The following is a 21100-nucleotide window of genomic DNA, read 5'->3' as shown; positions in this document are numbered from 1 at the left end:
TGGAGCATGTTTAGTCATTCAGTAAATGTTCGTGTGCTCACTGTCTGTAGGGCACTGTCTTAGCCATAGAGCTATATATAAGAATTACTGAGGATTTCTGAGCAAGTGAGCTCACGATGATATTCTAGTCCCCTGGAAGATCACTCTTCCAGTAACATAGGTGAAGGGATTAGAATATCGGGTACGCAGCTAGGAGGCTACTTCAGTGCCTGAACAGGCAGGTTAGAAAGTTGAGAAGTTGTTGGCCAGGTGCGGTGGCTCACGCCTATAATCCCAGCACTTAAGGAGGCCAAGGCGGGCGGATCACAAGGTCGGGAGATCGAGACCATCGTGGCTAACACGGTGAAACCCCGTCTCTAATAAAAATACAAAAAAATTAGCCAGGCATGGTGGCGGGCACCTGTAGTCCCAGCTACTCAGGAGGCTGAGGCAGGAGAATGGCGTGAACCCGGGAGGCAGAGCTTGCAGTGAGCCAAGATTGCGCCACTGCACTCCAGCGTGGGCGACAGAGTGAGACTCCATCTCAAAAAAAAAAGTTGAGACGTTGTTTGGAGGCAAAAATTCACAGAATCATAGTTATGTTTTGAGAGATAGGATGTACAACCTGCTCTCCCTAATGACATGTAATAATAAGGTTATGAACAGAGTCAGGCCAAGCTCTAGAATCAGACAGAAGTGGACTTGGATTCCTGTTCCTTCAATAGCTGTATAACGTTGTCCAAAATTTTGTGCTTCCTAAATCTCAATTTCCCCATATGTAAAATGGGTCTCATAATGATACCAGCCTCGGAAGATGGTTGTGAGTATTGAACATCATCACATAGGCAAAGCACTAAGTTTGTGCCTGGCTTATAAACATCCAGCAAGTGGTAGTTATTTTCACTGTTGCTCTGCTTGTATATGAATGTTTTCCCCACTTGCAAGCTTTTGCTGTGTGTCCATGTCCTCTTTCCTTTACCTTCATTGATGTGGTGTCATTGGGGTGTGTTTGAATGATTGGTCTGGCATTGTAGGGCCTTTGAGAAAACTGCATAAATATAATCTTTGGTGCTCCCAACTTCCATGCATTTTACCTATTGGTTTGACTGTGATTTTAAGAAGTCTTACTAAGTATCCAGCATTACCCTTGGGTCTGTATGACACAAATTTTGATTTAAGAAACTCAATTATCTGGGAAACTCAGGACATCTCAGGTTCTGGAAAATTGCCTCAAGGGATTAACCGGTTTAATGGGGGAAGGTAGCAATCCTCTTCCCTCCCACTGCACACTCCTCTGAAATATCAAAGTTTTTCCCAGTGTTTGAATTGAGTCATATGTCAAGAAAAGCACATTGCATTCCGTTGACATAAGACAAATGCCATATGTTAAGTTTATTTTTAAATGGTGGATAAGAACGGGGAAACCATGTTCCAGTCTGAGAAAATATTGATGCTGTGGTGTTGGTGAGGCAGGTTATGGTTTAATTCTTACCTGTGGATTAAAGAATGAAAAATGAACCTACATCCATGGCCTGACATCTGTGTAAATGGAACGTAGGGATGGAGGCCTGTCTGCCTGCCTTATGTTCTTGGGATAAAGTAAATACTGAAAGTCTTGAAATCTTTCCTAAGCCTAACAACATTGGCACAGCTGGGGCCCAGATGCACCGCAGGGCGGGTGGAAGGTCTTGGGCAGGGGAGACAAAGCAGAATGTGAGACGATGCCTTGGAGTTTAGGGAGGTGGGAAGAAATAGTGGGAAAAGGCTGCTTTTACCCAGAATTTTCCTTATGCACAATTAGAAAGTGGATGAAGTTGGAGTTTGAGCTGTCCCTTGTTGTGCTGGACCCCTGTTAACCTCAACAAGGATGGTATCATGTTCAAGAGGCCGAAGAGACTTGGAGCCAGCAGATGAGACACAGGGTTTTATTAGTGGGAAACTTACACACAGGGACGGTCCAGTGGCGGCAGACTGGGCAGAAGAACCACAACTGCTTGCAAAAAGCATGCAGTTTATATAGCATTTTCAGTTAGCACCCTCTGCCTAACAACCTCCACCTGGCAACCTTCAATTAACCCAAAACAAAGGGCCCGGATCTCCTGTACAGCTTACATTCCACAGGATGGATCCAAGGGCTTCAAATGTGCTTCACAGACAAGGAAAAAATCTCCCAGTTGGCCGCTCCTGGATTCCTTAGCTCGGAACTCCAGACACATATTCAGGTGCCATATGGGGTCATTTTCAGGGTAGGCTTAAGCAAGTTATTGCCGTCAGGTGCATCTGCCATACATCCCTCCACCCATCCCCTTTCTGGCCATCCTACCAGCTCACTCCCCATTCTATGTTCCACCCCCACCCTTCTCAATATTTACAGTCTCTCTTAATATGATCATGAGGGAAGTCTGGAAGTATCTCTTGAATCTAAAAATGCAGATGCCCCACACCTCATCTGTTCCCATCTTGGCACCATCCTACCTGCACCTCGGCAAGGAGATTTGGTCTCATGTTTGTCACCGCAAGCAATTGAAACAACTGGCGTGTCTGGCAACAGATGAAATAAGGCATGGTAATTTTGTATTGGTTCTGAGATATCTTGTTTGTAAAATGGGACTAGTATTGGCTGCTTATTTCATGGAGTTCCTTGAAGATTAAATAATAACAGTTCTTGGCAAACAGCAGTCTATAAATTTTAGCTACCTGTATGATTATTCTACTTCTTCCTACTACATGGAATACTGTGCAGCTGTTTTTAAAAAAATGATCTATGTTCTTCTATAGTAACAATGACTTCAAGGGCAAAAGAAAGCAAATGAAAACAATAAGCACAGTGTACCATTTTTATTTTTATTCAAAACAGCACCAATTGCCTGCCAAGAACACACTTACCCAGCTTATCTCATTTTTACCAGCCTCTCAGATATTCAAGAGGAACTGGAAAATAAAAAATGTACAGGAATAGCATTTATATGTTTAAACAATTCTTTACAAAACAAAATTATACAGTTTTGGGATATACATATGTGTATAAAAACAGAAAACTCTCAGCAAAAATACAGATCAAACTCCTAAAGAAGTAAAGTGAGATCAGGCACGGTGGCTCACACCTGTAATCCCAGCACTTTGGGAGGCTGAGGCAGGTGGATCGCTTGAGGTCAGGAGTTTGAGACCAGCCTGACCAACATGGTGAAACCCTGTCTCTAACTAAAAATATAAAACTTAGCTGGGCATGGTGGCGTGCACCCATAGTCCCCGCTACATGGGAGGCTGAGGCAGGAGAATTGCTTGAACCTGGGAGACGGAGGTTGCAGTGAGCTGAGATGGCACCACTGCACTCCAGCCTGGGTGACAAAGCAAGACTCCATCTCAAAAAAAAAAAAAAAAAAAAAAAAAAAAAAAAAAAAAAAAAAGTAAAGTGGATGAAATTTGGGGCTTTTTGTGTTTCTTTAATCTCTCAAAAAATTGAGGGGGTGTAGTTTGGGGTTAGAGGAAGGAATGATTTCAGTCTCATTCTTAATGGTTTTCATTTTGTATAGGAATTTATACTCATATACCTGTTACTTGTGCCATCAAAAAATACTTTAAAGGAGAAGGAGCAACCCATGCTCAGGTGTTCACTTTTAACCAAGTCAGGTGTTTGTTCTTGAGTAAGCATGACCTGAATCTTACAATCTCAGAAGAGGAGGGCCCCACTGGGACCTTCTAGAAAAGGTGTGTGATCTACATGCGAGGGAACTGAGGCAACTAGCTTAAGGTCACATAGCAGAGGCAGTAGGGAGGGAAGAGGGGAGGGAAGGAACAGGTGGCTGGCTTTGGGGTGGGGAGGAGTCATTGGATAAAAACTAGCTAATGTTGCAGAGCAGCTAAAGTTAAGGGGGCCTGAAGGCTGGAAGAAAGGAAGATGAACTAGAAGGATGTTAAAAGGTGTACGTAGCCGAAACACACAAAAGGAAAAATGTAGCATGCAAGTTTCTCAGGCTTTCCTTTTCCCAGTGCTTACTGAGTGGCTTCTGGGTTTGCCTGCTCACCCTCTAGGGCCTTTGGTTGTGTTAATGCTGGGAATAGCAGAAAGATAATTTAAAAATATCCAGAAAATCTTGACATCTTTACATTAGAAAAGACCAAGAACCTCATGAAAGAAAATAGCATATCCAAAATGTCAAAAAATATCCAGAAAAATCTTGAAATCTTTACATTAGAAAAGACCAAGACCCTCATGAAAGAAAATACCAGTTCCAAAATGTCAAAAAATATACAGAAAAATCTTGAAATCTTTACATTAGAAAAGACCAAGACCCTCATGAAAGAAAATACCAGATCCAAAATGTCAAAAAATATACAGAAAATCTTGAAATCCTTACATTAGAAAAGACCAAGACCCTGATGAAAGAAAATACCGGATCCAAAATGTCAAGGGTCAGGAGTCAAGAAAGAACCATGCGAGAGGGAGTCTGGAAAGCGTGGAGGTTGCAGGGAGATTCAACAAGAGTTGGCTGCACTCCAGAAACAATGGGATAAAAGGCGGAAAAGAGAACTTTATAACATTTCTGTGAGTTAAAAATGCAATCCCCTTTGCTCATTGTTTCTTGAGACTTCAGTAAAAATTTAAATTGTTCTTCAATATTTTCTGGATGTCGGACTTCACGCTATATTGAATGAGACAGTAGACCAAGTTACTAATGATGGCACTAAAAATCACCACTGCTGATGGAACTGGAAGGGGATAAACAACACTCTGAAATGCCAAGTTAGTATTAAGAGTATTAGAAACAGGCCCTCTCTCCGAATTGTATCTCCCAACCATCTTCACTCCTTGCTCTCCTCCCTTTGTTTCTCAGGCAAATACAAAAGTGACACGGTGGTCATATAAAGTCCACAATTGAAACCACTTTTTTTCCAATGTGATTTTTAGAAAGGTTTTCATAACAGCACCATTTGCCTACCAGGAACACACTTTCCCAACTTTTGATTCTCATCTCCATAAGCCTTTGAGACTTTCAGTGAAACTAGAAAATGGAAATATGTAAAAACAGCACATGTCAAATCATCGCAACTTGGAAGAATAAAATATTCTCTCTCTTTGTTTCTCTCTCTCTCTCTCTCTCTCTCTCACACACACACACACACACACACACACACATAAACACACACAAACATGAGGAAGGGAAAAAAAACCAACTCATGTCCTCCATTTGTGCTGAGAGAGTACCAGGTGGGGGTGCTTAGGGACTTACTAAATTTGGTGCCCTGTTGAAAGCATAAGGTTTTTCTACTTAGTTATAAGCAGCCACTGCAGAGCGTTGGTTTATCCGCCCTTAGTGACCTTAGCCTGGTGAATGGGTTTTATGTACTGCATTTTCCAAACAGATCAGAATATGGAATATGCATTGACGTTTATGTGCCAAAAATTACCTGGGTGGCACCTTCCTAAAAGAATGGAAATGATTCTCCTGAATCCCGCACACGTTGAACGAAGAATAAACAACCTTGTTGAAAGAGTCTGCATGACCTGGAATGCTAAAAAGCCTTTGGTTTGCTTGCTGTAGTGCAAAAATATGAGAAATATTTAATCTTTAAAAATACACAATGGTATCATAATTTTGCTGCAGGTTCAAAGGCAGCACAATATAACTTAGGGTATTTAAAATGTAATGTCATTGTATATTTTCAAATGCAAACAGCAGAGAGTTTGATAAATAGCTAGAGAGCACCAGACCATATCTTATCCTTATAAAAGTGTCTCCTGTGAATGTTCAGTGTATCTCTCAGAACATTCTTAATATGCTCCATAGCTGAATGTGCAGACAGCAACTCTATAGAAATGTATACACCTACTTGGTGTGCGGTCTATGTCGATTCCAAGTGAAGCTTATATAAATTTCAGATGCCCAGCCTTTTGCTTTTGGAAACACATCTAAATGTTTATAATTTTCTAGATCTCTTCTATACCCAGGGTTTTAAAAATTTTATTTTTGACACAATATTCCTGTTTTTTAAATAATCAAACCAAGTTATTTATAATATATCTTGATCTGTTTTAATCCATGTTTGATGTTTAATTGTGTATTTAAAACTATATGAGTTTTATATCATAAAATTGATATATGGTCATTATAAAATGGATTTGGTATAGTGTATGTTTAATTCAACTACAAGTAACAAAGACGTAAATATGGGGATTTATTGGCTCTTATAAAGCCTGGAACCAGGAACCAGGCAGCAGAGCAGCACTATCTAATAGGACTTTCTGTGATGATGGAAATATTCTATTATTTGTCTTGTCCAGTTTAGTAGCCACTAGTCACAGGTAGCCACTGAGCACTTTAAATGTGGCTTAGTAGGGCTGAAGAATTAAACTTTTTATTTTATGTTATTTTAATTAATTTAAAATATTCATATGTGGCTACTGCTACTATCATAGCAGACGGCAAAAGTGGTAGCAGGTTGGTAGGAAGGAGACTCATGGTCCTTCATCCTAGTGTTCTCCCCTCCATGGCTTCTGCCCTCCAGATCTCCTCATGGTCCAAGATGGCTGCTGGGAGCATACCAGGAATCCACATCCCAAGCAGCAGAAAGCAACATAGGCAAAAGGGCAAATATCTTCCCTTTCTAGAAGCCCTTTCTAGCTGTCATATACAACACTTCTACTTGCCTAGAACTTAGTCTTATGACTACACCGAGCCATAAGGAGTCTGGAAAATATTTGGGGTTTATTTTATTTGTGTATTAATTTTGTTCTGTTTTGGTTTGATTTTGTTTTCTTTTTTGACTGAAGAAGGGATTCGAGGGCAGGTAGTTCACAGTCCCTGCCACAAAAAGTTGCACAGTTCATCATTCCCTTCCATTCCTCCGATCCCCAACCCAAACCCATTACTAGTCCTCAGAGATAACTGCCATTAATAACATTGGATGTAACCATCTGGCAAATTCATTTGTACACAAACATATACCGTTTTTACATTATGCACTATTTACAGCGTATCTTGGATGGCTTTCGATGATAGTATATATAGATCTACATAGTTCTACTTCATTCAATAGACAATAAATTCTATGAGGGCAAGAACTGGGCCTGCTGTATTCATCTTTGTGCCCTACATATAGTAGACATTGAAAGAAATCAGCACCATTGTGTCTCAATTTACGGATGTACCATAATTTATTTAATCCATTCTTTTCTCCCAACCCTCCAAATAACAAATCCTCCCGAGACAAAACAACTTTGCTTTATTCTCAGAGAACTCTGCAGCATTAACTAAATTAGCTATGCCCCTGACAATCTAATTTTCTAATTGTCTTTCCAATCAACTGCAAAAATTGATTGTCTCCACTCTTTTGTGATTTGATTCCATTGCTATAACAACTCAAAAATATGTATCCATGTATCTTTTACTCCAGCCATGAAGATATGTGTGGATTTAGAGACAGCACCGCTAAGGAAAAAATCAAACTGTTTAAAAATTCTCTTAAGAAAGGAAATAAATCACTTCTTTGTGTTTTCCAGACATGGCCTAGTACAGATATGTTCTACAACTGGAAAAAAATGGTTATGATTGAGGCTTAGAAGTGGAGTGCAGTGAAGAAACTTTAGGGAAGCCTGACAACCACACCCTCTGCTGATCCCTGTGGAATTTTACATGGATAATGAGTAAAAGGTATAGCTGAAGAAACAGAGAGACAGTTTGGCAAACAGGAAAGAAGCACGAACCCCTGACTTCATTTTCTTATCATTCAAAGGGTGACAGTGTCCCTTGCATCGTGTCCAGCATCATGGTGTGAATTCGATGAAATCATCAACGTATTCACCTACCGTATGTTGCCTGGCACATAGCAGCACTCACACAATCAGAGCTGTGTATGTGGAAAATATTCACGTGTTTCCCACATACTGGAATGGGTCCTAAGAACCACTGAGTCCATTTAAGGAGAGAGATTTTTTTTTTCCTTTTTTGAGACAGAGTCTCACTCTGTCGCCCAGGATGGCGTGCAATGGCGCGATTATCGGCTCACTACAACCTCCACCTTAGGGAAAGAGATCTTTACAACAGTCTCTACCATAGCGAGTAACTGAAACTGTTAGGGCCTGCAATGTAGCATATTTTCATTTCTGTATAAAGGCATCCTTACTGATATATAGTCCATACATATTTGGGTATCTCCTATACTAATCGATTAAGGCATTCTTGATACCTAGAGGACATAAAGACCAGCACAATATGCAGGACAGCGGCAATCCACTAGACCAGAAAGAAGCTCCATATTACAGACACCAGGAAATGTTTCTAAACCAGAGATTTCCCTCAGTCATCTGCACCAGAAATCCTTAGAGCTGCTAGTTAAAATGTAAATTCCTGGGGCCCAATTAAACATGCAGAATCAGAATTCACAGGGGTGAGGTCTACAGGCCTCCAATTTAACAAGATGACCAGGTCATTTTTGTGCATAGAAAAATTTAAAAATCATTGTCCAAGAAGGACTTAAATTGAGTAACAATAACTAAATCGAATAACTGGATGCTTTTTAGAACCTGTCTTTTTGAAGTGACACAGCTGACACAGTAGAATACAAAGAGGAGTAACACAGGTACCCTCTCCTCAAGAACACAGTGTCACGAGCAGAGTAGAGATGAGTAGGAGGAGAAACAGCAGAAAGGAAGGAGGGATTAGCTCTTTAAGACATTGCTAGGGGAAGCTTTAAAGAACAGGTGATATCTGAGCTAGGCTTTGAAGGCTGAACAAGAGTTCACCAAGTTGCCGAGCTGGCACAATACATAGTCTAGGGCAGTACTTCTCAGACGTTACTGCATATAGGAATTGCCTGGGGAGCCTGTTAAAATGCAAGCTCTATTTCAATCAGTCTGGGTTAAAGCTCGCAGATGGTGCTAATGTTCCATGGACCACATTTTGAGTAGCAAAGCTCTAGAGAAAGAAATGGAATAGTCATAATGAATCAGACAAGTGTGTATTAGTATGTTCTCATGCTACTAATAAACACATACCCAAGACTGGGTGATTTATAAAGGAAAGAGGTTTAATGGACTTACAGTTCCACATGGCTGGGGAGGCCTCACAATCATGGTGGAAGGCAAAGGAGGAGTAAAGTCAAGTCTTACATGGTGGCAGGCAAGAGAGCATGTGCAGAGGAACTCCCCTTTATGAAACCATCAGATCTCATGAGACTTATTCACTATCATGAGAACAGCACGGGAAAGACCTGCCCCCCGTGATTCAATTATCTCCCACCAGGTCCCTCCCATAACACGTGGGAATTGTGGGAGCTACAATTCAAGATGAGATTTGGGTGGGGACACAGCCAAACCATACCAGTTTCCATTCTTCTGATAGTGAGGCAGGAATTACATAGTTTGTTGCAACCTTTTTGACTTCTCTTATGGAGAACCAACTGATCTCTTCCCTTCTACTCAGGAATATCATTAACTATCATTAAATAAATACACCTCTTAGGCATCTCACCCTAGACCCTGCTACATGGAGTTACCTGAAGAAAAAGCAATTCAATCTAAAACCAATATCAGCAATTCTAAGCATTCAGTAAACTGGCCAGTACATTTTAGTGGTTATTGTTTTACATCTATTTTCCTGTATCTTTTACTGTTCTGCCCTTCACCTCAGCCACAGATTTACTTCTTTTTTTATTGTATCCTCAAATTAAGGAACAACAGAACATACTTTCTCCAATACAAATTCTCAGTGCTCCCCAAGTCCCACCTGTATACCACACCTCGGGGAAGATGCCAGAGATTGACTCTCTCATTGTCTTTGTTATGTTCTAAGAAATTCCCCCTACAATTACAGCTCTAAGCTTAACCTTTCTCCTAATCTCTAGACTGTCCTGCCAATAGAGAATACAGTGAAACGGTATGGAACATACACAGTGGAACAGAGGACACTGATGGAACAGTGTTTATAAGCACAAAGTTTGGAAGTACGGAATCCTAGATAAAATCCTGACTGTGGAATTAACTGCGTGACCTTCGGCAAATTACTTCATCTCTTTGAGCCTCAGTGTCTTCACATATAAAATGAGAATAATAAAAGCCCTTATCTCATAGTATTTCTGAAAGGGTTAAAAAAGCAAACCTAAGTAAAGGGCCCAGTACCTGGTTTGTCAGAGTTATTTTAAAAAAAAATTGTAGCTGTCATCATAATCAGACTCACTCTCCCTACTGTATAACCTCCACTGTCACCTCCATTTCAGTTCCAATCCCTGTACTGACCCAGATGCCCTATTCACACACCTGAACACCCTGCACCCATCCGCCTTCACAGTGCCTTCTATTACCCATAGATACTACTCTGTTTTTTTTGTCTGAAGCCATTTTCTGCTTGTGTATTTCTTCTGAAAGACTGAATCTTGTTTGCAGAGAAGGACAAACACACCCACATAACCCACGTTTGCTATCTCACCATGTTTTATTATAAGGCTTGTGGACAATCATGACAGGCAAGGGAAAAGGCAGCCTAGGAGAAAATGTTCCTGGATGCACTTGCCAAGCCAAGGTGTGGCCATGACAACCTGTGTACACACATGGATACCACTGAGATTTTTCTGTTTAGGATTTTGGCTTGCTTAACTACTGATCATATCTAATCTGTCTCATATATTTGAAGTAATTAACTACTGTTCTGTGTCCTGCAGTGCACTTGCATATTGCCACAATGACAGGCATTCCAAACTTTTGAAAGTTTGCTACTTACATCAAGATGGACTGAGTACACTTAAGTAGAATCTTGAAACACTTAAATAGTTAACCAATTTATTGTGAAATCAGTTCGCCCTTTCACACTTAACTCTGTAAGTGTCTCAGTTCATCATATCTGGAGATTCAATGTAGCACATGTGTTGGGAAGGAGAGTTTTTTCTTTGTGTAGTGTGTTGTCTTTTGTCCTGGAATAGGACAATGGGTAAGTAATGGATTATCAGGAGAAGTGAGAAAACTGATTTCCAATTAGTTTTCTTCCTCGAAGTGATTTAGGAGAGGTGAACTTTATTTCCTCAGCTGGCATTTTTCAAACTTTCAAAGATTGATTCATTCAAAAAAATGTTCCTGTGTGCTTCTATGTATGTGAATAGGATACACTAGGGATACACTGATCCCAGCGCACCTCCAGGATTTCTCTGTACAAAGGTCCATGGGCAGCATCTGACTGGAACGGAGAGAGCCATGGCACCTTCTACAAAGCCTTATGTGTACAGCAAGGATGTGCACCAAAGGATGCTGTTTCTCCTTTAGTTATTTATTTGAGGCAGTTTGGGGTGAAGGTCCTGATCAGCATCATTTCAAATCCATTTTCCTACTCTGAGCCTTAGAAGAGGGGCTGAAGCTACTCCTTGGCTCTGCTACTAATTGTTAAATGAAACAAACGTGATGCCTCCCATCACGGCGGTTACAGTCTAGTGAGGGGACAAACAGACAATGAATGAGGAAAGAAACAAAAAAGTTGAATGAAGATGGCAAGAAGTGTTGTTAAGGAGATGAATAAGGTAGTGTGATAGAGAATAATGAGGAAGACCAGGGCAGGTGACACGTAAGGAGAAATTTGAGAACGAAGCATCAGGCATACAAAGAACAGAGGAACAGGTCTGTGTGCCGGTAGAAGGCACATGAGCCTAGAGGTGAGAGTAGAGTTGTATCTGCAGTGTGGGATGCCGGGGATGAATAGCGCTAGATGAGGTTGGAGAGGAGGACAGAGCTACATCCCACAAACTCCATGTAAGTAATGGGTTTATGTGTTATACCAAGTGTAATAGAAAGCCACTCAAAGATTTTGCAGAGCAGGACTCCTCCCTTTTTTATTATGTGAAATCTTACTTGTAAGACCAATATTTTAAATGATTAAAGCAGACCAACTCAGATTGAAGCAAGGATGGGGAGGCAGAGCTTGCCAAAGAGGTGTTCTCCTCCCGGGCTCACTCCTGTGGCACCTCCCTGAGCCATTAGCTCTGCAGGCCACAGTTAGCTCGCCGTTCTAGGCAAAGGGGAGCCAGAGCTGATATTTAAGGCAGATAATGATTTCAACTAGGGGTGAGTGAAAAGAGTGGCATCAGGACCTAGAGTCACCCTGCTCTGGAGAAAACAGATTTGAAATGATGCTGATCAGGGCGATCACATGATTTCTGTTAGCATTGTTCAGCATCCCAAGCCAGGATTTGAGAAAGTGGACACCTGGAGTTGGGTAAGACAGTTGCAACCAGAGCTCTAAGGTGTTGGTTATAGGTCCTAGTTTGCTAGGAAAGAAGAAAATAACTCAGGGGAGGAATGGAGGAAGAAAGTCAAGGAAATAGAGCCCCCAGGAGATCAAAGGGAATATTAGCTGGGCAAGTGCAAGGAAAAAGCAGAAGAGAGTGCCAGGGGTATTGGGTAGAGATGTTCTGGGTGACAAGATCCAAAATGCAACCTGTGACTGGGAGTGGTGGCTCACACCTGTAATTGCAGAGCTTTGGGAGTCCAAGGCAGGAGGATCACTTGAGGCCAGGAGTTTCAGACCAGCTTGGGTAACATAGCAAGACCCCATCTCTATTAAAAAAACTGTAAAAATAGGTCGGTGTGGGGATGCATGCCTGTAGTCCCAGCTACTCAGGATGCTAAGGCAGGAGGATGGCTTGAGCCCAGGAGATGGAGGCTGCAGTGAGTTATGGAGCACCACTCCACTCCAGCCTGGGCAACAGAGCAAGACCTGGTCTCAAAAAATTATAATTTTAAAAATAAATAACTAAACAAGAGAGAAAAAAAGCAGGCTGGGCACGGTGGCTCATGCCTATAATTCCAGCACTTTGGGAGGCCAAGGTGGGTGGATCACTTGAGGCCAGAAGTTCGAGATCAGCCTGGCCAACATGGTGAAATGCCATCTCTACCAAAAATACAAAAATTAGATGGGCATGGTGGCATGTGCCTGTAGTCCCAGCTACTTGAGAGTCTGAGGTATGAGAATCACTTGAATCACAGAAGCTGTAGTGAGCCAAGATTGCGCCACTGCACTCCAGCCTGGGCAAAAGAGCGAGACTCTATCTCAAAAAAAGAAAAGAAAAAAAAGAAAAACAAAAAACAAATCATAGCTTGTGCATTACTAAGACAAGTGCAGTTAAAGGTTGCTGGAATGTAAGAGACCCAGGAAGTGTGAAGTCATTGGCTGGCTGAGCAGTAGGAGTGCTGAAGTCATGCAGGACGTGGTAGGAAGGATGGACAGAACTGTATACTGGGTATGGATGAGAATTCATCAATATATCATGGTGACAACAGTGGGGAGAGGGTGATAGAGCTGAGTTACAGAGTCTTAAAGAGTAAAGATTATTTGTTGTAACTTAATCAGTATTTCAGAAACCCAAAAGTGTATTTAAAAAGGTATTTATTATCCTTTGTATCTATCACTCAGCTTAAGAAAGCTTTATACCAACACTATTGCAGTCACCTGTGTAAATCCTAACGTATTTGTTCTCCTTTCTACTCTCACCAATATAACCACTGTTCTAATATGATGCTTATTATTTCCAAGCATTGCTTTACTTTTTTACTATATATAAAGTTTCCTTTAATGAAGCTTTGTTTTCCATGTCTTTAAATGTTGTGTAAATGATATACTATGTATTTGTCCACAATATGCTTTTTTTTTTTTTTTTTTTTTTTGAGACAGAATTCCGTTCTTGTTGCCCAGGCTGGAGTGCAATGGTGTGATCTCGCTTCACTGCAACCTGTGCCTCCTGGGTTCAAGCAATTCTTCTGCCTCAGCCTCCTGAGTAGCTGGGATTACAGGCATGTGCCACCGTGCCCAGCTAATTTTGTATATTTAGTAGAGACAGGATTTCTCCATGTTGGTCAGGCTGGTCTCCAACTCCCAACTTCAGGTGATCTGCCCGCCTCGGCTTCCCAAAGTGCTGGAATTACAGGCATGAGCCACTGCACCTGGCCTACAATATGCTTTTATCATTCAACAGTAAATTATATAATATATAAAATATTTACTTATATAACATGTATATATTATATATACTATAGTATATATAATATATTTATATTTATATTATATTATATATACTATATTATATACTATATATACTATATTATATATACTATATATACAGTATATATAGTATATATACTATATATACAGTATATATAGTATATATACTATATATGTGTATATATATGAAGTATATATATACTATATTATATATACAATATATACATATTAGTATATATTGTATTATAGTATATATTGTATAATATAGTATATTGTATATAATATTTTGTATATAATATTATTGTATATAATATTTGTATATAATATAGTATATTGTATATAATATATTGTATAATATAGTATATATATAATATAGTATATAGTATATTATATATACTATACTATAGTATATATAGTATATCCTGGGTCTCTTACATTCCAGCAACCTTTAACTGCACTTGTCTTAGTAATGCACAAGCTATGATTTGTTTTTTGTTTTTCTTTTTTTTCTTTTCTTTTTTTGAGATAGAGTCTCGCTCTTTTGCCCAGGCTGGAGTGCAGTGGTGCAATCTTGGCTCACTACAGCTTCTGTGATTCAAGTGATTCTCATACCTCAGACTCTCAAGTAGCTGGGACTACAGGCACATGCCACCATGCCCATCTAATTTTTGTATTTTTGGTAGAGATGGCATTTCACCATGTTGGCCAGGCTGATCTCGAACTTCTGGCCTCAAGTGATCCACCCACCTTGGCCTCCCAAAGTGCTGGAATTATAGGCATGAGCCACCGTGCCCAGCCTGCTTTTTTTCTCTCTTGTTTAGTTATTTATTTTTAAAATTATTATTTTTTGAGACCAGGTCTTGCTCTGTTGCCCAGGCTGGAGTGGAGTGGTGCTCCATAACTCACTGCAGCCTCCATCTCCTGGGCTCAAGCCATCCTCCTGCCTTAGCATCCTGAGTAGCTGGGACTACAGGTATGCTTCCCCACACCCAGCTATTTTTAAAATTTTTTAATAGAGATGGGGTCTTGCTATGTTACCCAAGCTGGTCTGAAACTCCTGGCCTCAAGTGATCCTCCTGCCTTGGGCTCCCAAAGCTCTGCAATATAGTATATACTATACTATAGTATATTATATATACTATATTATACTATAATATAATATAGTATATATAATATATATACTATATTATATTATATCATAGTATATAGTATAGTATATAGTATATTATAGTATAGTATATATATAGTATATAGTATAGTATATAGTATATTATATAGTATATACATATTATGTAATATGTATTTTTATACATTATATAGTATATATGTATCATATAATGTATAAAATATACACATTATTTTCCTGAATATATATACACATTATTTTCCCTAATATATAGAGTATATATAATGTATAAAATATGTATCCATATTATAGAATATGTATATATTATTATAAAATATGTATCCGTATTATAGAATATGTATATATTGTATCATATATAGAATATGTATATATTGTATAATATATAGAATATGTGTATATTATAGAATATGTATTCATTGTATAATATGTACATATCCTATAATAATATATACATAGCTATATATACATATTCTATAATATGTATATACAATATATACATATTCTATATGTATATACATATGTGTATATGTATATATATGTGGCAAATGCATTTTTAAACTTTTTTATAATTTTTCTTTTTGCTATCTTTTGTTGAGCCTATTTTCTTAATTATATACATATTTATAATATGTATATAAAAATACATATGTTATACATTATATGTATATATTTCATATATAAATATATATAGTATACATTAATTATAATATATATTTATATAATATAAATTATACATACTGTATATTTATATATTGTATAGTATACATATATTAAGTATGTCATATATATTAAGTGTATGTAAGTATAAATATATATTAAGTATACACAAAGTATGTATACATATATCAAGTATATAATATATAATACATATAATATATATAAAATATATGTACGGTATATCTACATACATATATAGAGAGGGAGAGTTCACGTTCACTGCTGCATAGTTTTTTATTATGTGAATATGCAATTTAGCCTTCTTCCTCTTGGAGAACATGAAGTCAGTTCTAATGTGTCTCATTTCAAACACTGCTCCAGTGAACACCTTTTACGTATCTTCATGTGCGTCTGGGTGAGAGCTGCTCTGGTCTTACCTAGCTGTGAAACTCTTGGTCATAGTGTGAGGGCTTCTTTAGCATGACTAGATACTGCCAAATTGCTCTTTCGTGTAGTCATAAACATTTATATTCTCTCCAGGAGTCTAAGTTTCCATTACTCCATATCGTCATCTCCACTTGATATTATCCAACTTTTTAATAGGGTGTGAAATGATATTTACTAAGGTTTTGGCATCTACTTCCCTAATTACTAGTGTGGTTAAGAATCTTTTCATATTTTTGTGGGTATTCATGTTTCTTGGTCTGTGAATTGCTTCAATGTATCTATTACCCATTTTCTGTAAATTGGTGTTATTTTTTAATTGGTATATAGAACCTCATTATATATTCTAGACACTAATTCTGAGTGGCAAATGCATTTTTAAACTTTTTTTAAAATTTTATTTTTGCTATCTTTTGTTGAGCCTATTTTCTTAATTTTAATATTGAAAAATGTATCAGGCTTTTCTGTGCTGTATTTAAGAAATCCTCAAAGGAAAAGTTCTAGAATGAGTGTGATCTGGAAGCATCCATGATCAGTGAGGGAAAAATCTGTCTTTTACTTTTTGTCCTGAGTTATAGAAAGTAAGAAAGGTTGAATGACCTCTACTTGAAAAAAGGATTGCTATTAAGTTTTCTAGGGAAAAGACTGCATTGTATAGTGATATTTCATGTCAAGCAAAGAGAATTCTAGAGACTTCAGTAGAAGGGGGTTGGTGGTGGACAGGCAGGACAAGGAATGAAAGAGAAAGGATGAGTAAGGCAGAGGTGAAGAAGAAAAGGAAGTGGTTGGAAGGGCTCACTTTCTGGCCAGTGATCATGCATCCCAGCAGCAAAGGGAGGCAAAGTGGAAGAGGGAACTGTTGTAGATCTCTTCAGCCCCTGGGCTCTTTGCAGACTTAAATGTACATGTGAATCACCTAGGGATCTCATTGAAATTCATATTCTAATTCAATAGGTCTGGGACCCAAGACACTGCATTCCTAACATTAAAATTAATATTCTAATTCAGTGGGTCTGGGACTTAAGATACTGCATTCGTAACAAGCTCCCAAGCGATGCTGATTCTGATGGTGCAGAGCCTATCAAGGTAGTACACCATCCTTTGCATCCTTCAACAGTGCATTTCACAATAAGCTAAGTGGTTTCAGAAAGAGTATTCACAAACAACAGATCTACAAAAATATTGTTTGACCCAGAACATTTCTAGTTTCTTCCAGAGATTTATACTTTTTTCCTTCTTCCAGTTCCCCAGGTCATCAGACTAAACATCCAAGCATGTGAATAACAAGGTCGGAGGCCATTGCTTTGATTGGACACAGCTGGTGCCTGGGCCGGGCAATGGGAACTAGGCTGGGCTGTCTAGGGGCTTTCTGGTGACTGAGGAAGCTGAAGTGACTCAGGCTGATGGCACACACTCTCTTAAAAGAAAATGGGAGGAAATGCCTGAAAACTAAGCCTAGGATCCCACAGGGAGGGCAGAAGGGCTAACCTCACTTGACACAATTTATCATATGCAGTTGTTCTAGAAGAGTCAGGCAAATATGACATCCAGGTATCAGGTTGTACAATGACTTTGCTAATTTGAGCACCTAAACTAGCCCAGTTAGTATTCCCATCCTAAGGATATGTTATCATGAATGGTGCCATCTGTTTATCTATCTGCCTATCATGGGTCCAATAATCATCTGTCAGTTTATTTTTCCCAGAAATGTATGAACCACTTTTAAGCCCAGGGCTTTAAAGAAATGGAGGAGGCTGGGCTCGGTGGTTCACACTTGTAATCCCAACACTTTGGGAGGCTGAGGTGGGAGGATACCTTGAGTCCAGGAGTTCAAGACCAGCCTGGGCAAAATAGCGAGACTCCAACTCTAAAAAAGAAGAAGAGGAAGAAGAAGAAGGAGAAAGAGGGAGGATGGAAGAAGAAAGAAGGAAGAAAAAGAAAGAGAAGGAGGAGGACAAGGAGAAGGAGAGAAAGAAAGAAGGGAAGAGGAGGAAGAGAAAAGAGAAGAGAAGAGAAGGAAATTCAAGCGCTCATTGAGAGTTTGTCATTTACTAGCTCTATAACCTGGGAGAAAAGGCCACTTTACCTCTCTGAATCTCAATTTCCTCATTCATAAAATGGAGAAAATGATGTTAATACTTTCTAAAGATTATAGTTTGTGATTTTCCTTTTATTTTGGTCATTTTTAGCTCATTTAAATCAAAATTTCTGTAGAGGAGCCATGAACATCCATGTGCTTAGCAAACGCTGAGGTCCTTTAGTCTGACTGAGAAATGAGAGAAAAAAAGAAACCATCTCTTGAAGGAACAGTGGAAATAATGTGGCTTCAACGAGATTGCTATAGATCTGTTACCTTGTGGACACAGTCCAAGGCCATTTTGGTTCGTCTTGAGAAATGCTCAATCCAAGAACTCTTAGAGCTTGTTGGAGCTCAACTGATATAATTTTAAGATGATTTTGCCTTCCTCCATGAAATTCATTATTTATTACTCTGAATGGCCTAAATCAACTGACAGTTTTTGCTGTGCTGATTGAAGAGGCACATTTCCATTTGTGAGAAATGTATTGCTTTAGCCATGAATTCTTTTCTCTGAGCTACATCGTATGTTGGTTTTCCCCCAATTTTTTTTTCTTTTTTAAAAAAATAATTTTGGGGGTTTCTATCATGTTAGGAGAAAATGGAGATCAAAAGACTTGCACATTGTCTTGAAATTCAATTACTAGGTTTTGTTGTTGTTGTTGTTTTATTTTTTTAAACACTGAATCTTGGAGTCAGGGCATCTGAGTTCCTCTTTGTTGTTGCCTCTTTTGCAAAAAGAGAAATGAAAACAAGCCCTTGGAAGACCCTGGGCCCCAGAGCATGGAAAAATTTATTGTCATGCAGGATGCATGAAGGGCTTCAGAAGTTTGAGATGAGAACAGGAATTCGAGTGGCCTCAAAAATACTCTACTTTCAGGAGGACACTTGGATTCAACTGGGAGGCAAAGGCTGTTTTAAACAATGAGGGCAACCTTTCTCTCTTGCTACCAGTGAGATGTCAGAACTGGTCCTTACCGTGGGGGAGGGGAAAATAAAAGACAGAGAAATTCCCTCCGCAAGGACCCAGTGTTAAAATGCTGAGCTGCAATTATACTTCAAGGAGATGCCCAGCTGGAAGTATTTGAAAGGATTTTGACACCCAGTGGAAAACTCCAGAAGGGGTCCTGGGGTTAGAGGTCGTGTATGTAGCCTTAACGGCTACCTAGGACAGAGTTGTTTTTCTATCAGCACTTGACAGGTGAGTCGTGGACATCACATCTGCCTCCTGAGGGAGCTGACAAAATGTCAGGGCTCCACGCCCAGCTCAGCTTAGCATCACTCACTGCAGGCCCTTGTACAAACAGTTTCCAGTCACCAGGCCCTTTCTTTCCATTCAGCCTTTTTTAAAGTTAAACAAAGTCACTGGCCATCACGAAGAAAATATTTAAAGCATTATATGGAAAAAAGGGAGTGCAAAATGGGACTGTACTTTGCTGTGTTTGGATTATAAACAAATATTCACACCTGTGTTAGGCCTCCGGCTGATGAAGCACCTAGCCAACTATTTGAAACAAACACTGTTTCATACTTTTCATAACTCCAAGTCATTTTAGCATATATTGCCAAGACTGCAAATTAAAACACGAAGAAGAGAAAGACCAGTGTATTCTGTGGGTGATTAACCATGGGAGAAAAATTGCTAAATTGGTGGAACCTCACCACCAATCTGTGATATATTCCATTTCTGCATTCAACAGTCTTGCTGGAGGTGGAATATCTTTAAAGTAGCATTTAAAGAATTGATGGTGTTGATACATTTCTCCAACACATAAAGTAAAAATTAGTGGATACCTTTCACCACAACATTCATGCCAAGCATTAAAATCAGAACAAAAATCAAAGTCAGGAAAACTAGCATGATCAATTTAGTAAAAAATGTGGTCAGGTCAGCCTCACTAAGGGCAGTTTCTTGTTTTTAACTATGATCAGCCCAGTAGCATAGTAACTCCATAGTACCCAAATATTGATTGGGTTTCCAACACTCCAAAGTTGGCTGACTACATAGAGACAGCTCCTATCAACAAACGAATGAGGCCTTTGCTGCTTCATTCTGTGCAGTTAAGTGCATCTTCTTAAGAGATCTTCAGAGGTAATTACCTGGTTATTTTTAGAGCCATGGGGAGCACTGTTCCCTTGTTCATTTCCCTCACAGATCTGTGTAAAGTTATTTGCTGGATTTGACTTTCTGGAATTCAGGGTTGGCTCAGGGACCAAGTGAACCACTTAATAGTTGCCAACTGGTAGCCGGACACTGTAGTAGACACAGCCAACGAGGTTCCTTGCGTGATGGCTGAGCTCCGTGGGTGGTCCTCGTGTTCACACAACTGACTTGCCCTTTAGAGACCCCAAGCAGCCCCAGAAGCCACTGGAATTTTTGATGAATGTTGAAAAAAATATATATGGAGAGCCATTTTCTTAGATGAAGGCTGGTAGATTTGTATTCAACTTTTAGGCTGAAAATGAGCCCCGGCCATGGGTTTTCCTTCTCCTTGTAGACACTGGGTATGCATGGTTACCAATCACAAAGCCATCTCGTGATTGGTCCTGAAGGGTATTTTCATTTTGTTTGAAATGGCTGGAATATTTATGGAGGGAGGACTGTGTGCTGGAGGAGAAATGAGGCCACACTCAGAAATGAATGAAGCGGGGATCCTGGCCTGAGGAGGGTTTTCTTCTGTCAGGGAGATGAATCAGACACAGGTGATTTTTCACACCAGAAAGAGCTGTGGAAGTTCTAAAGAGGGTGATGCCTTTCTTTGAGGCTAGCAGAAAGGAAGTTGATTGAGAAGAGAGATTAGAGTTTCTCAACCTTGGCAC

The 21100-nt window shown here is 39.4% G+C and overlaps 1 long non-coding RNA gene across 1 annotated transcript; it reads left to right on the top strand.

Moving 5' to 3' along the window:
* Positions 1–2091: 2091 nt before the first annotated feature.
* On the top strand, positions 2092–10050 carry LOC105377143 (uncharacterized). Its single transcript, NR_135533.1, has 3 exons — positions 2092–2201; positions 7481–7631; positions 9823–10050. It is a non-coding gene; the product is annotated as an uncharacterized LOC105377143 (long non-coding RNA).
* Positions 10051–21100: the final 11050 nt, after the last annotated feature.

Source organism: Homo sapiens, chromosome 3, assembly GCF_000001405.40.
Source record: "Homo sapiens chromosome 3, GRCh38.p14 Primary Assembly".
Taxonomy (NCBI): domain Eukaryota; kingdom Metazoa; phylum Chordata; class Mammalia; order Primates; family Hominidae; genus Homo; species Homo sapiens.
The sequence above is the reverse complement of the archived record's forward strand: the minus strand, read 5'-3'. Positions and strand labels throughout refer to the sequence as shown.